This window comes from Homo sapiens, chromosome 5, assembly GCF_000001405.40.
Source record: "Homo sapiens chromosome 5, GRCh38.p14 Primary Assembly".
In the NCBI taxonomy this organism is placed as follows: Eukaryota; Metazoa; Chordata; class Mammalia; order Primates; family Hominidae; genus Homo; species Homo sapiens.
In genome coordinates, this window is record NC_000005.10 from 5,687,020 (window position 1) to 5,702,995 (window position 15,976).

Sequence of the window (15,976 nt, forward strand, 5' to 3'; positions counted from 1 at the left end):
GTTTGATTGCATCTCTAACCAGGCATCTACATAGCTGATTCCGACAAACCAGCCTCACTTCTCCTCTCCCACGTGGATTTTGGAGACATGTATAAGATGTGAGCTCTGAAAATATTTGGCAAAGATCTCAAGCTCTGCATGCTAGTATTATGGGTGGATGCAGCATTTACTAGTCAATCAACACAGTCATAGGCTTGTATGACACCATGGACCATCAGCTTGCACTGGTTGAAAATCCCATAGTCTCTCTCAGCTTGTCACTCTCACTGTTCCCTCTGCCCCAGACATTCTTGCCTACCATAAACAGCCCATCCTCAATGCCAAGTCCTCTGCAGAGCCTGTTTCAATTCCCTGTAAACCTGAGCAAGACACTCTCTCTTGTCCCACATCACCCTTTGCAGCCCTCGCTTTGCTTATTTCACCTTTTGTTGCTTTCTCTGTGTGCTCCACTATTTGACGTGTCCTGTGGGCAGGCACTCTTTCTAATTCTCTCTCTGATACCTCCATATTAATCACAGAATGGCATCGCTGTGTTCAGGGTGGTAGCTGTAAGTCACACACGGGTGTTGAGCACAGGAAATGTGGCTGGTGTGCCCAAGGAACTGCATTTTCACTTCAATTAAAGAAAACTGCAAGTGTAAAAAATACACAACAGATCTTGAGGACCTAGGACAGAAATAAGTATATAAAATATGCATAATGTCTATATTTATTTTGTGTTAAAATGAAAATATTTTGAATATGTTAGGTTAAATAAAATCAGTTTTTGAAAATAACTTCCCTTGTTTCTTTAAAAATTTTTAATGTGGCTACTAGAACATTTAAAATTACATCCATCAAGGGAATGCAGGTAACAATGTAGGTAATATGTATGTACGTTATTCATTCCACAATGTATATAGACTTCAAAACATCATGTTGTACATGGTAAATATGTACAATTTTATCAATTAATGTAAAATGTGGTAAAATTAATTAATTAAAATTACATATATCATTAGCATTGTATTTCTACTGGACTCACTAGATTAGTACATACTAAATATTCTAAAAATATCAAATATATTTCTAGATTTCTTTTTTTAAAAAAAACTTTGCAATGCAGAGTTGAGTGTAAGGTATATGATTTAGGAGTGATGAAAAGCTCTTTTAATAGTTGGGAAGGAAAGTGCTTTATTTTGACCAACAAAAGAGGTAGAAGTCTGCTCATTCCAAATAGCTATGTGTAAGGTGTCCTGAAATAGATTTAGTACTTCCTGGAGCTGCTTTTTTTAGCCTGACCCCTTGTCACCTTTAGCCTCCTTTTTGAAATGAAATGTGGTCATCAGTCAAGGATTTGGGCAGAGAGGGAGCTCATGCTGTCTGTAAGTTCCTTGCTCCTAGGGTGACCCTTCATTTCCCGGCCGCTCCGCTCAGACTCCTCAAGCTTCCTGCTGCCTCCAATGCAATGGTGGAGGATGAGCTCCACTAAGGAACACATCCGGCTCACAGATCTGGCTGGCATTGCTCTGTCTTGTAACAGCAGGTTTCTCTTTACTGCCTGATTTTCTGCTACCCCTGTGGAGGGTCATTTCTGTGTGTGTGTATGTTAGCTGTCAGCCAGGGATTTGGGAAGTTTGTGCTCTGATTCTGGGTTTCACTCCTGTGACTTGTGTGCCAGGATTTCCTCTTCCTATTTCCAGCTGCTTTCCCGGCTCTAAGCTCCAAGTGCTATCACCTTCAGTTGACCAGCTGCGTCTTTGTCCCTCCCCACATCACTTTCTGCAGCCAGGGCAGCACTCCTGGACAGGAAGCCATGAACTTGCAATTCCACCATTTCTTCCAGTTGCTTTTGGGTGAGTTCTAGTGTCCTTAAGTGCTGTTTTATTTATTTTATTCCATTTTACCATTGATACCCGCGAGGAATTCACATGACTGCTTTGCCATTTCCAGAGGCACCTACCTCTGCCCGGTTTTAATGGTAACAGATAATTAATTACAGCAGCCACAACCTGAGACAGCCACATGACACATCACAGCCTTGGACAGGAGGGTCTGCACCACACTCCTAGGAAGCCACCCAGAGAAGGACTATATGATGGGTACTAGAAGAGAGAGATGAAAGTATCAGTGTGGTCTTAGACCTGCTGCAGTGTTGGGGTTTAGCTGGTTGTGCTAGCCTCTTTCTTGCTACTTTTGAAGCTGCATCACTGTCTGGGATAAATACCCAGGACTCGTTGCCTTGTGCCAAGGAAATCAAGGACATGGAACCACATGGAGTGAGGTTAAGAGTGGAGGTTTAATAGGCAAAAGAAAGAGAAAAGGGAATAGATCTCTCTCCTGTGAGAGAGAGGCGCACCTGAGTGGGACCTCTGGACCATGGCAGAGTGCACCAGATTTTATAGACAGGCTTGAGGAGGTGATGCCTGATTAACATAGGGCCCAAAGATTGGTTGGACCGGGTGTGACCTTTTCATAGCATCAGGAAGCTGGCCACCTCACCCTAATATTATTATGCAAATGGGGTCTTTACTTGGCCCACACTTTGCTGCCTGCTCCTTACTGTGCACGTGGTTGACAAAGAAAGGGGAAGATGGAGCCATCATGTTGGACATGCCTAGACCCCAGGTCGCTTCTTCCTATTGGCAAAGGTGCCAGCATTCACCCGTGCAAGCTTCCAGCTTGCTTGTCTATGTCTGCAGCTTGATTTTACAGGTTGCTCTTTGTCAGAAAAGAAAATGATTTTGGGGGCTGCTTTTCATTAAAAGAAAAACCTTTCCGAGGACTTCCCTACCCTCGCTATCTGCCTAAATAATTTCTTCTTAACTCCTGTATCACGTTCCTTGGGAAATTAGATGAAGCATAATCTGGAAGAGCTGTTTTCAGTGGGGGTGAAGTTGCTCTAAGAGCCAAGTGATCTGAGTAGGGCAGGAGGGAGCCTGCAGGGGATGCTGTGTCCACTGCCTCGATTTCTCCATCAGGGCTGAAATCCTTACTCAGCCTCCTGGAGTGTGAGATGCTGGCTCACACATGTATTAATCTTCAGGAGTTCCCCTGAAAAGAGCTTTTTACCCAGGAGGTAGAAAGGCCAGGTTCCCTTCCATGAAACGAGACAGCTTTGAAGGGTCATCCTATCCCCAGGTAGCCCTTTTGAAAATGCAGTGCATTTTGCATTTTCTTTCTCTTAGCCCTGCTTCCCTCACTTCCCTCACTCCCCTTCAGGGCCTGCTTCTGATGAGTGGGTGAAAAGGGTGATGCCTTCCCTTACCCATCATAAGGGTCATGGCCGACACTCCTGTAACAAAAGACAGGTTAACAAGAGAAAAGCATAAAGTATTGATTTAATCAAAGTTTGACATGACAGACACAGGAGCCTTCAGAAATGAAGACTCAAAGATTCAGCGAACGTTGTCTGTTTTTATGCTCAGGTTCAATGAAGAGTGGACAGCTGTGTAGATGTGTGATTCGACAAAAGCGTGTGATCTGACGGACACAGACCAAGAAGAAACCCAGCAGGCCTGTCTGCTCAGATTCTTCTTGGCCTCTCTGTGCAGCCTTCCTTCCTCCTAGATCTGTGGCAGGGTCTTTGTGGAATGAGGGTCTTCGAGGGAGAAGGAGAAAGGGAGAGAGTGACCTTTCTAGGTTTTATGGCTTGCTGTGGGGTAGAGGAGCACTAGTTCGTATAGCCCGCCTAGGGGAAGAGAAATTCTGGTCATGGCTTGCTTAGGAGGAGAAAGAACGGCTAGAGGTAGAAGAAGGTCATAGAGACCTTTCTTCTGAGCTCTTTCAAGTCCTTCATTTAAATACTCAGCATGCCAAGGCACCACATATTGGGGTATCCTATTTGAGTCCCAACGTGGGCAGCACTCCCCAGAAACCTCGTGAACACAAATTGGTATCTCAGAGTCTATTTTGGTGAAAGCCACATAAGACAGGAGGTATGTGAATAGCTTTGATCAGAGAGTGAACTAAGGATATTGAGTGCCTTAGTCATTCCCGTTCCACACCCCTCCCCGTATTCAAGTCCTTTATCCTGGAACTTTGCATTTCCTCTCGCTAAAGGGGTACAATGTATTTCATTTGTTTCCATATCCCTGGATTTTGGCCATGAGCTGTTCAGGTCATGGAATGTTAGCAGATGTTGTTACCCAGTGTGATGTCTATGTGACCTAGGTGTATTTCTAACCTGCCTTCATTCTGCTTATCTTTAGGAAACAGGATGCCTGAGGTCAGAGGTTTTCCCCTTGTGACCAAACCAGCTAAGACTGGTGGGATCCAAAGTGGCAGCTCACTTTACCTCTAAAGAACATCTAGGCTGGGCACAGTGGCTCACGCCTGTAATCCCAGCACTTTGGGAGGCCAAGGCGGGCAGATCATGAGGTCAGGAGATCGAGACCATCTTGGCTAACATGGTGAAACCTTGTTTCTACTAAAAGTACAAAAAATTAGCCGGGAGCAGTGGCGGGCGCCTGTAGTCCCAGCTACTCGGGAGGCTGAGGCAGGAGAATGGCGTGAACCCGGGAGGCAGAGCTTGCAGTGAGCTGAGATTGCGCCATTGCACTCCAGCCGCCTGGGCAACAAAGTAAGACTCCGTCTCAAAAAAAAAAAAAAAAAAGAACATCTAACTTTATCATAATCTAATTTTCATGCAAAATGGCACTCCCTCCAGAGCCATGACAGTTGACAGTCACCACTACAATGGCAAGAAGAAACCATGAGAGGACAAAAAAGAGAATGACACTCAGTTCAAGAAGTTCTTTATCTGTTCCCAGAAAAGACATAAACTTTGCTCCCCTTGCTTCTAATGCCCAACTCCTTCAATAAAGATGCCCAATATCTGTAACTTTCCAGCTCTCATGAGCTTAGAAGTTGATATGTGAGTCATGTGTCTGCTTTTCAATTCCATGGCCGTTGAATAAAGCCTGCACTGCTGATGCTCATTTTTACTTTTGTCTATTGGCTTTGTAGTACCCAACAGGGAAAGACCCCATCTTTTGGGGAACTGGCTTTGTTGGGAATGTGATGTGTGCAGGTGGCTGAAAAGTGCGTTTGGATTCACACTTGGCTTTTGCTGCTCTGCTGTCTTCAGGACAATGTGCTGGGGCTGGCCTGTCCAAGGATAAAGAACAGGGAACAGCATGGAGTTGGCCAGCTCTTCCTCAGCCGACCCTCATTCACTAACTCTACATCTGGGTGACCTCAGCCAAGATCAGAACTTCCCAGCTGAAGTTCTAATTCACTAACCCACAAGCCCATGCGCTAATAAATGCTATTATGCCTTTCTGAGTTTTCATGGCTGTTTGCCATGCAGCATCATCATGCCAATAGATAACAGACAGAAGTATTGCTAGCACCCCATTTGAAGTCTGGGGCAGGTGGCCCTTATTAGAAGGGCACACAAATTCACAGCAGGTACCAGGTGGGTAAGTAAGCTCATCTGAATGTTGTAAAAATAAAAATGGAGTCATATCACTTAAAAAATCCTGACAAATAGAGCCCAGAAAAGCCATGAAGAGAGAGTTCTTATGCTTATATGCCTGATAACAAAATTTCTTGCAAAAAAAAAAAAAAAACTGCAAAAATCACGAACTTGCACAAAGGTCATCACAACTTCTCACAAACAATACTTCTGGAAGGACATCCACCCAACAACTGCCTGTCCAACCTCAGACTGGTGTCACCCTTGTTATTCATCTTTGTAGCCGAGGATAATTATTTCATAACTAGTATGTAATCTTTCTCAGTTTTTCCTTTAAAAACTATTATTCCTTCGCTTTGTGTGTTTTGTCCAATTCTTTGTTCAAGATGCCAAGAACCTGGACACCATCCACCGGTAACAAATCCACTTATGAAAGTAGTTCCAATGCTGGGAGCCTGCAAATGTGCCTCCTACATTGCCCACTGTATAAATACTTTTGTGGAAAAACAAGGAAAAATAATATTTATGACCTCAAGCTGCAAGTTCTGGGACCCAGAAGGAAGGTCTAAATCCCATTGAAATATTTAGGAAGTTAAAATCTTAATTTTTAAGAGACTGCTTGAATACACATTTAAGTAGTAATTTTTTCAAGATCCTTAATCTAATCTAACTTGAAATATTGAAATATGATATCATAATAGTATCTGAAATTGATAAAGATGCTTTTCCTTTAAACTTGAGGCCAATTTTCTCTTTATAGAATCCCAAGGCAGGCGAAGCCAGCTCTGTTTGGTAAGTCAAGTTTACTGAGAAAATAAATCTTTTTTATTTGCATGAAAGATGCAAGATCACACAACCTATTTCTGGATAATTATTCTGCTGATTACAAGGCTCAAAGGCAGATGAGAAAAGACAGAAAGGTCATGTGCTTCCTGGTAAATCCTCCTGCCATGAAGGGCAGAAGATTGGAGAAACATCACTTCCACTCAGGAAATAAGGATGTATGTCAGTGTTCCAAGTTGAGGTAGAAGGCATTTATCTGAACAGATAAACAAATATTTAACTTTCTCCCTGACAGACATATAGACATTTAATTGTCAAATAAATGTTGAACAAAACCATTTTTTCTAAATCTGAATCTCAGCCAATATTTCCTGGAAAACGCTAACTGGGACTTCTGTTTTTCTGTTTTTCAGAGAATTCAGTTTCAAAGTGCGAGTTGAGGATAACATTCTGGCTTTCAGAAATCATAAATAATGAACGGCACATTTGAGTCATTATCGGTGGTTATCCCTCTTAGAGTCCTCTTTGGTGTGCTCCGACCTAAGGTTTGAAAAGTTTTTTTTTGTTTGTTTGTTTTGTTTTTTTACAGAAACCTCTATTTTAATAACTGCATTCTATAAAATCCAAGGGATTACATAAATTTATTTTAAGTGCTGAAGTTCTTTCATATTGAATAAAACCTTTGACAGTTTTACATCTACTGCCTAGTTGGGTAATGCTAGTGCATGCTCACTTAATGGATTATGTGGTTATTTTATTAGTTAGTATCACATGGCCAGGATCTTACAGTCTTCCTAGGAATGTCAATATGTCCCCATTCCACAGGCACCCGTGGAGAAGGAGAAGGAGATCTCAAGAGGAAAAATCAATGCAGGAACAAAGAAACTCTTGGGTCTAGTGAAGAGAGACTGGATCTTGCTAGGCGAGTCAGGGATGGGGAGCTGGAACTGGGAAATGTTAATTTGCAAGGGTCCCCTGTGTAGCAAGAGGAAACTGCACATCCCTCTAGCCTGAACTCTGTCTTCAGATCCCAGCTTCCTACACTCTCACCTGGAGAACTCCCCAAGTTCTTTCTTCTCCTTCAACATTCCCAACATCTGGGCTTCCTCTGGGTCCTGGTTTCAGATGATTTTCACATGTCCATTTCTTGCTTCTACCCTGGGTGAGTTAAATTTGGATGACAATACCCAGATCTTACAGTTTGAAGGAGAATTAAATGGAATAATATGTGCAGAAGTGTTTCGTCAACAGCAAAGTGCATTTAAAGGCAGAATGTGCATGTGAGACAGCCAAGTGTAAAGGGGTCCCCAGAGAAACTCCAACCGACCTGCACACTGGAAGGAGTGTGCACTGGGGTGGAGCCTCGGGAAGTTCCTGCCCTTTGCCGTAGGGAAGGAGCCTGGCCTCTCCTGTTCAGAGATGGAAGCAGGAACTCAATCTGTGAGGTGGGAAGCCTGTACTTGCAGGACTCTCACTCTGCTGAGTCCCTGTTTCCAGTTTTTCCCATTTTTGCCCAATAAATTCTTTTTTTCTCACCCTTCACAGTGTTTGTGAGCCCAATATTTCACGGCCATGTGACAAGGACCCAGCTCTTAGATGAACTAAGGAGAAGGTACTACAACATTTTTGGTGCTCATAATGTGAGGCTTGAGAAGGGTGAGTGAGATGTAAACCAAGAAATCTTTTTCCCTCTCATTTCTAAGTCTTTTCATCCTTGGACATCTGAGGATAGAGGAAACCATGCCCCCACCTCCACTGGGGGTTGGGGGCCTGTCCATGTCCTTTTTCTTCCTTTTGTGGAATGGCCAGGTGAGCAGCAGCTCCCTACCACCATCCCCTCCCTGCCAGGGCTGGGACACATGGCCCAAGAAGCCCCAGGCTGCTGGTTGGTGTTTTCTCCTCCGTGCCCATGGAGTTTCCATTTTCCCTGGCCAGGGAGGCCAGCTCCATCCCAAAGCAATTAAGCTTTTCTCCCGGGTGGAGGAACCAGTTGCATAAGAATAAGAGGTTCTTCCCCAGGCATTTTTAAACTTTTTTTTTTTTTCATCCCTTTCTCCACTCTGTCAGCAGTTAACTTTTAAAAAGGAAAAAGCAAGGTTTTTCCTTTTAGAAGACGTTTTACTAGGCTAGGAATGATAAGAATCACTGTTATATCCTCTGTAAAGTTTTAATTGTGAAAAAGGATTTGTGAGGCTGGTCTTAAGCTATAGCCAATCTGGTGTACTTTGCATGTCTATATGGCTTGCAGCAAACTTCACTGCAGGCATCCGTCTTGTTTTACATCCTGGGGCCGTGGCCTATAGCCCCATGGCAAGGTTTTGTTTAGATATCCTGCCTTAGGAAATGATTCCTTTCTGGTTTAATATCTGCATGTTTTCCTAGCCCCTTCTCTTAAAGGGCTCCACCCAGCAACTGGGTTTTCTTCTGCCTGTCTGTGTAGTTATACATGTGTTGTGCATAATGATACCTGTAAAAAGAGCTCTAATTAACTTGGCCTAAAGGAAGACATGTGCTTGGATAAAATATTTTTTAAAGGGAAGAGCTGTGGTTCCTTTCAGTTCACATGACTTTAATCTCTGAGAAATAAAAACAGCCTTAAAGATTATTGGTAAAATGCAGATGCCATCAAAATGTAAACAGGTGGGCTTAAATTGTGCAGGTCAGATGCAAGATTTGCTAAGTGTTTTAAGGTTGTAAACTGCCTTTTGGGTTTTGAGAACTATTTAACTTGTTAGCTCCACAATTGGTAAGGCCTAGGGACATACGGAACTAACCACAACCTTAATTATGCTGGAAGGAGTCAAAGCTTGGCTGCACTTAGCATGCAATTAAAACAACTTACCAGGTTTTACATTAAAGTTAACATTGGTAAAAGTTACCATTATGACATGTAATTGAAACTACTGAAAATAGATTTATATGCAAAATGCGTAAAAACAGTAAAATGTGTTTTTAGTAAGAGATTATAAAAAAGCATGAAAATGTAAACTCTTACCCAGGGTTAAGAATTGTTTTGAATTAGGATAAAGCCGAAGATTCAAACACATTCTGAAAGGTTTCTAAAAATTAATCTTGCAGAAGAAATTCTGTGTGTAAACATTAACTAAATTCAAAAGGGTTTTATATAGTTTTTCTGTAAATTGAGCATTGAAATAAAAGCACAATAAGGTTTTCTTAAGGCACTGGTCTGCTCTTTAGCAAAATTTGTACAGGATTATAAAAGGTTTTTGCTTCTTTAAAATTTCTGAGTCATCATTTTGGCAAAATAAATAACTTATGGCAATCTGGAATTCTATTTCATTACATCAAGTGTTTTAAACCTCTAACACATTTCAGAGCCTTCCCAAAATCAAACTACAGTTTCAAAATTGTCTTTCCTGAAACCTTCTTTTTGGAAGCTCCAGAAGGGCCCCCAGAGTGCCCAGAAAAGAGATGTAAACAGGATTATTTGATATGTTAGGCACATGAGATTGCCAAAATGATGTTCAATCTTCTTTAGGTTATATTTTTGTGAATAAGGCTAATATATGTTCCAAAATTGTATGGGATTTCTAAAATTCTAAACTCTGAGTATATGCTATCAAACACAGTTAAGGTTTTTAAGTTGTTGTAAGCCACAGAGATAAGCAAACTTGTCAATTGTGTTTCTAACTGTGACTACCGTGAACATTTTGTTATTCACAGACAATTGGTGTTTTGTTTTAATCCTTTTCAAAAGATAGTTTATAATAAGTGATAGCACTCTGAAACGTACTCTTAAATACAGGTTTCTGATAACTTTGGAGGTTGTGACATTGGAATAAAGGAAAATGTACAGGACTCATGAAAGCTAAAATGTTCATGAATATCAAGCAAAACAAGTATTAACTAAATGGACTGAACTCAGAAAGCTGAAGCAAACTGTTTGACTTTTTCTTGGAGTATTGCTGATCCTTGTTTTGATTTTCAGAGTCAAGGAAACTTATTTTGAACTATTTATGGCCATTAATAATTGAGTAAGGTATACTCCTGTGAACAAAATTTGTAGCATATTTTCTGTCTCTGGCTGGCTTCTCCAGAATTTGGAAACTATCTGTGAGTATTCATAACTTATGGAAATATACTTGTTTGCATCAATGCAGTAAGAATTCACTTTTCTTTTGCAACAGGATGCAATTGGAGAAACTGGTTGTTTTATCAAGGCTTGGACTGAAAGTGTATGCTTCCCCTTAAAGGAGTCAAGCTCGACTTGTAGACCTGATAAGAGCCCCTTAGGAGAAACTAGCCTCATACCCTTGCCTACACAGTCCCTGTACAGGGTTCCTGGCCTGTGTTCAATAAAGAATGTCACTTTCTAACAGGCCTAGGAGCTCCAAGTTTATCTTGGGACCTTAAGAGGAGAGGATCACTCAACTCACAGGTATTTGAAGATACAAACCCATGACTGGGTTCAGCTTTAAAAGGTCTTACCTGAGACTCCTTGTGGAATAGAGTTCCATCAAAGCCAATCTAAAAGGCCTATGTAGAAATAGTTATTCTTGCTGCACTTTATACAAATAAACAGGCCAAGTATAAGACTAAAGTCTATTCTGCAAACAACTCAGTCCTATCATGATTTGTTTCTCTCTCTTTTTTTTTTTTTTTTTTAGCAAAAATGGGGACTGGAGAGAGAGAAATTATCTTTCAAAACTTATACATTTGTCATTAAATTCTAAACTCACTAGTTGTTTTTAAGTATTGCCTACATTTTTAGACTAACCCTGCTTATTCCTGTGAACCTACCAGCAATCTCTGGCTGCAGCTCAGAAAGGAAAAGAGGGATGGGTAATGTAAAAATCTGGATCAATATTCTAGTACTGTGCAATTTTCCTGCAAATCCTGCCAAGTGATGCGTATAAATAGGATGCCTATCACCTGGAGGTTTCCGTTTGGGGAGGTAAGATCAAGGGGGCTAACCAAAGCCAAGCACCATGCACCCAAATCCTAGCAAGCGTAACTGTAGCCACCAGTTATCTGGGTGTGTCACAAGACATCTTTTCTCTCCCTTGTTGGAGGAGGATTTAATCACACAGCTTCACCTTAGCATTCAGCTTATGATAAGGAGTCCATGCAACCCCCAGGAGACACATTTTTGTCCCAAACTCAATTCCAAGCTTTGGGTCAAAGCCTTAGGAAGAAAACTGGATCTAAGGGATCCAGAGGCAGATGATAATAGAGGTTAAAATGTACAGCACAGATGAGTATGGTTAATTACTGCAGATTAAGCCAAGCCTTCCATTTCATGGATAAAGGTCATGCTAGTATCCATGGCATAAATGCAGTAGGAGGGATAAAGACATAGGTGAGAGCAGATAATTCCTATTCTCTAGGCCCTCCTGCTTCATGGGTGCAAGCCACTTTAGCACCCATGGGAGGTGCCTGCCAAGGTCACCCAGACTCAGGGATGCAAGGATGGAAGAGGGAAAGAGGATGCTCTTCTTTGTCCCCCTCGTGTATCTGCTAGGAGGAGAAGGGAACCAGGGATGACTGCTCCCCTCTTTCTAGATGGATATCCATTCATCTTTAATCTATACCCCTTTCAAATGCATCCTGAAACCCTGGGGCTCCTTTGAAAAATGCCGTCTTTTTTTCCTTTCTCTTCCTTGGCTCTCTTTTCACTGACAGGCAGTTGTGTTCCCGTACTACAGGACACTACACTCAGATGTATCTTTCAAACTAGAAAAAGTTAATTTCCCAAACCTTAAACCGGTTGGCTTAGGATTGGGCTAAGAGGAAGGAAACCCAGAAGCCCAAGATGCTGGCTAAAGGGCAAAGGTTTTTTTGTTGTTGTTGTTTTTTGCCAGTTGAGCTTTTGGCCTCTCCCTCCCTGTGCAGACTGGTAAAAGGCCTCAGGACTTTTGAGCTGTCCTTACCCCTCCCCTTGTTTTGTTTTGGTTTGATACATGTTTTCTAATAACGGCTTGTCCCTTCTCGCCTTCAGGCCATGGAACTCCAACGGTCATGCAACCAAAGCCTCTGATAATGGCGCCTTCTTCTGGGAACCCTTCGATCAGCCTCGGAGGGAACGCTGACTGCCATTTCCCCCAAAACAGCGCCCCCTACCAGCAGAAGGCAGTTAAGACTGGTCTTCATCCTTGCGCTAATCCTTAATCTACGGGCAGTCAGATGTCCTTCTTTAGAGGGGGAATGAGACAGCCAGGCGGGAAAGGATCCCTGGACAAACTCCCAGCTGGCCTGCTTACTGGGAAGAGCGTGCATTGGGGTGGAGCCTTGGGAAGTTTGCGCTTTGCGGCTGGGGAGGAACCCAGCCTCTCCTGTTTGGTTGTGGAACCTGGGATTCAATCTGTGAGGCAGGACGCCCAGACTAGCAGGACTCGTGCTCTGCTAGAGTCCTTGTTTCCCCTTTTTTTCCTTTTCACCCAATAAATTCCATTTTTCTCACCCTTCAAAGTATCTGTGAGCCTAGTATTTCATGGCTGTGTGATAAGGACCCAGCTCTTAGCTGAAATAAGGAGAAAGTCCTACAGCATATACATGAACTCCCCTCAACACCAAGTCTCAATGTCCTATTTATTATTATGAGACCTGATGTTTACTGACTGCTTACAACATGTCATGTATTCCTCTCTACATTTCAGGAGTATAAATATTTGTTGAAGGAATAAATGAACTAAATGAATTAGTGTCCATCACATTATGAAGTAGCTGTTCTAATTGCATTCATTTTACAGTGAATAAACTGAGGCACTGATAGGTTGAATAACTTTCCCATGGCCACCCAACCAGAAGGGAGAGCAGGGTTTGAATCAGGTCCTCTGCTTTAAACAATTCTGCTCCTTTGTTTAAGGAAATGATACCACCATTGAACCTGACACGTGGAATAAAAGACTCAGATTTATCTCTTTTACTTCCATCTCTGCCCCAAATACCCCAGTAACAGAGTCAAGTTCTCCAGATGACCCATCATTTCCCTCCCACTCCAGATGCTGAGACCTGCTTAAATCTAACTCAAACTCTCCCTCACCTCTCTCACCTGAACTCCTGCATTAACTTCCTACCTGGCCACCCAGTAGTCTCTCTTCCCTCGATCTATTTTGTACACAGACAAATCCAGCTGTGTACTTCTTTTGTTCAAGATTTTAATTCATCCTGAATGACTAAATAAACTTATGCTTCTTAATTTTCCCATTTAATTCAGTTTATGACTCTATAGATCACTGACCTACCTCCAAGGATCTTCTTCTCCAGCCAAATCCTGTTCTTCTTCCTCTTTGAACACTCCTGGGGCTTTAGCACTTCATCCGTCCTCATCCGCATGGATGTCCTCCTGGCTGGTCTGTCCTGTGAAAGCCTCTTCCACTATTCCATGCAGCCTTCTCAGAATCCCTTCAGGCAGCAACAAATCAGAATTCCCTACAGATAAATGGCAAAAAAGCACATGAAGTTCTCAGCTTCTTGTCATCAGGAAGTTGCAAATCACCATTATGATGAAACTACTACATACTTGTTAGAATACCACAATTCAAAAGACCACAAATAGAAAATGCCTGTGAGAATGTTGAGCAACAAAAGCTCTCATACCTTGTTGATGTGCAAGAAGAATGGTCCATCTACTTTAGAAAAATTCCTGAGGCTGGGCACAGTGGCTCACTCCTGTAATCCCTGCACTTTGGGAGGTTGAGGTGAGAGGATCACTTGAGGCTGGGAGCTCAAGAAAATGTTCTGGCAGCTTTCTGATGAAACTAAACAATCTTAGCTGTTCTGTAACTAGGCATTTACCCAAAAGAAATGAAGATGTATGTTCATTTCTTCTGACCTACCTCCAAGGATCTTCTCCAACCAAATCCTGTTCTTCTTCCTCTCTGAACACTCCTGGGGCTTTAGCACTTCATCCGTCCTCATCTGCATGGATGTCCTCCTGGCTGGTCTGTCCTGTGAAAGCCTCTTGCACTTGCACAAGAATGCTCATAACAGTTATATTCAAAATAGACAAAAACTGGAAATGGTTTAAGTGATCATCAATAAAAGAAGAAGTGAACAAACTGATACATTCATACAATAGAATTTTCCTCAGCAAAAAAGAAACAAATTATTGATATATGCAAGACATGTATGATTGGCAAATAACATTATGCAGTGAAACATAAGTCTTACATGAAAGAGTACATTTTATATGAAGTTTCTATAGCAGGCAAAACTAATCTATGATAGAAAAATCAGAATAGTGGTTACATCCTTGGGATGTAGGTGAGGGCTGGCTGAGAAGCAATATCAAGGCCTTTCTGGGGAGATAGTGACATTCTGTACCTTGAGAGAGGTTGGGTAACACAAGTTCATATATTTATCAAAACTCATTGAATGTATACTTAAGACTTGCATGTTTCATTATATTTAAATTTATAGCAAGAGAAAAAATGTGTATATGAATATTAAACTTCAATTAATCCTATAAATACTGAAGTTTTTAGGGAAAAATGTGATGATGTGCAGTGTATTTTGAAATGCATGAAAAATAAGACGGTTTGGTGGACGGATGGAGGGAGGGATGAATTGATGGCTAGATATGGAAAAAGGCAAATACAGTAAAATGTTAGTAATAGACTCTAGGAGGTTTGTCCGCATATGGACATTCATGATAAAATTCAACTTTGCTGTATGTTGGGGAATGTTTTGTAATAAGAATTTGGGAAATAAAAGTTTACAGCTCTTTTCTTCCACTGAGTTTGAGATTTCTGATGTCTCTCCTGACTTCTCTTTAGCCCCCAATGCATAGTGCCTAAGGCACTGTATTAGTCTGTTTTCCCCACTGTAAAGAAAAACGTGAGACTGGGAACTTTGTAAAGAAAACAGGTTTAATTGGCTCATGGTTCTGCAGGCAGGAAACACAGCAGCATCTGCTTCTGTGGAGGCCTCAAGGAGCTTTTACTCTTGGCAGAAGGCAAAGCAGGAGCAGACATCTTAAACGGCAGGAGCAGGACTGAGAGAGAGAGAGTGCAGGGGGTGAAGGGAAGGTGCTACACACCTTTATACAACCAGATCTTGAGAGAATTCACCATCACAATAACATCCAAGGAAGTGTGGTGGCAAAACATGAGAAACCACCCCCATGATCCAATCACCTCCCGCCCAGTCCCACCTCCAGCACTGGGGATGATAATTCCACATGAGATTTGGGTGGGGACACAGATTCAAACCATATCAGGCCCTATAGTAATCAATAAATGAGTGGTTTATAAAATGCAACCCAAGGACCCTATGGTGGCCCTGAGGCCTTTACAAGGGACCTGCAAGGTTAAAATCATTTTCTTAATAATGCTAAGGTGCTATTTACATTTTAAAAATCATTCTTTTAGAAGTATACAGTAGGCATTTTTAGAGGCTGCATGACTTGCTGTATCTCAATCGATTAACTACAGAAGTCTCTTGAGAATCCAGCTGACTTTATTAAGCCAGGCAATAAAAAAATTTGCAAAAATGTAAAACAATTCCATCTTTGACTAATTTTTGTTGGTTTTGGAAAATGTAGTTTTATTTAGCAGAAATTTGTTATTTATGTTAACATGATAGTAGTTTTACATTGCAATTTTAAAATGTGTCAATACCTACTTTTTATAAATTAAATTAATTTTATATATGAAATAAATTTAAAATGTCACAGCTTTAATTACTAACATTATAAAGAACAATTCTTAGCAGTAGTAGTTAAAATCTAGATCAGTTTTAATCATGAGCATTCCCTTGGCAAAGTTTAGCTCAGTTTTATTTGCATAAATGAAGTTAGGGGATCCTCAAGATGTGTGAAGGGAAGGAGAGGTC

At 41.5% G+C, this 15,976-nt stretch overlaps 1 long non-coding RNA gene across 2 annotated transcripts; it reads left to right on the forward strand.

Moving 5' to 3' along the window:
• Window positions 1–1,311: 1,311 nt before the first annotated feature.
• Window positions 1,312–6,779, forward strand: LOC105374634 (uncharacterized). Of its 2 annotated transcripts, none has more exons than XR_001742494.1 (3): window positions 1,312–1,364; window positions 1,683–1,835; window positions 6,595–6,779. It is a non-coding gene; the product is annotated as an uncharacterized LOC105374634 (long non-coding RNA). The 2 variants fall into 2 exon arrangements; XR_001742495.1 differs by lacking the exon at window positions 1,312–1,364 and adding an exon at window positions 1,433–1,525.
• The last annotated feature ends 9,197 nt before the right edge of the window (window positions 6,780–15,976 follow it).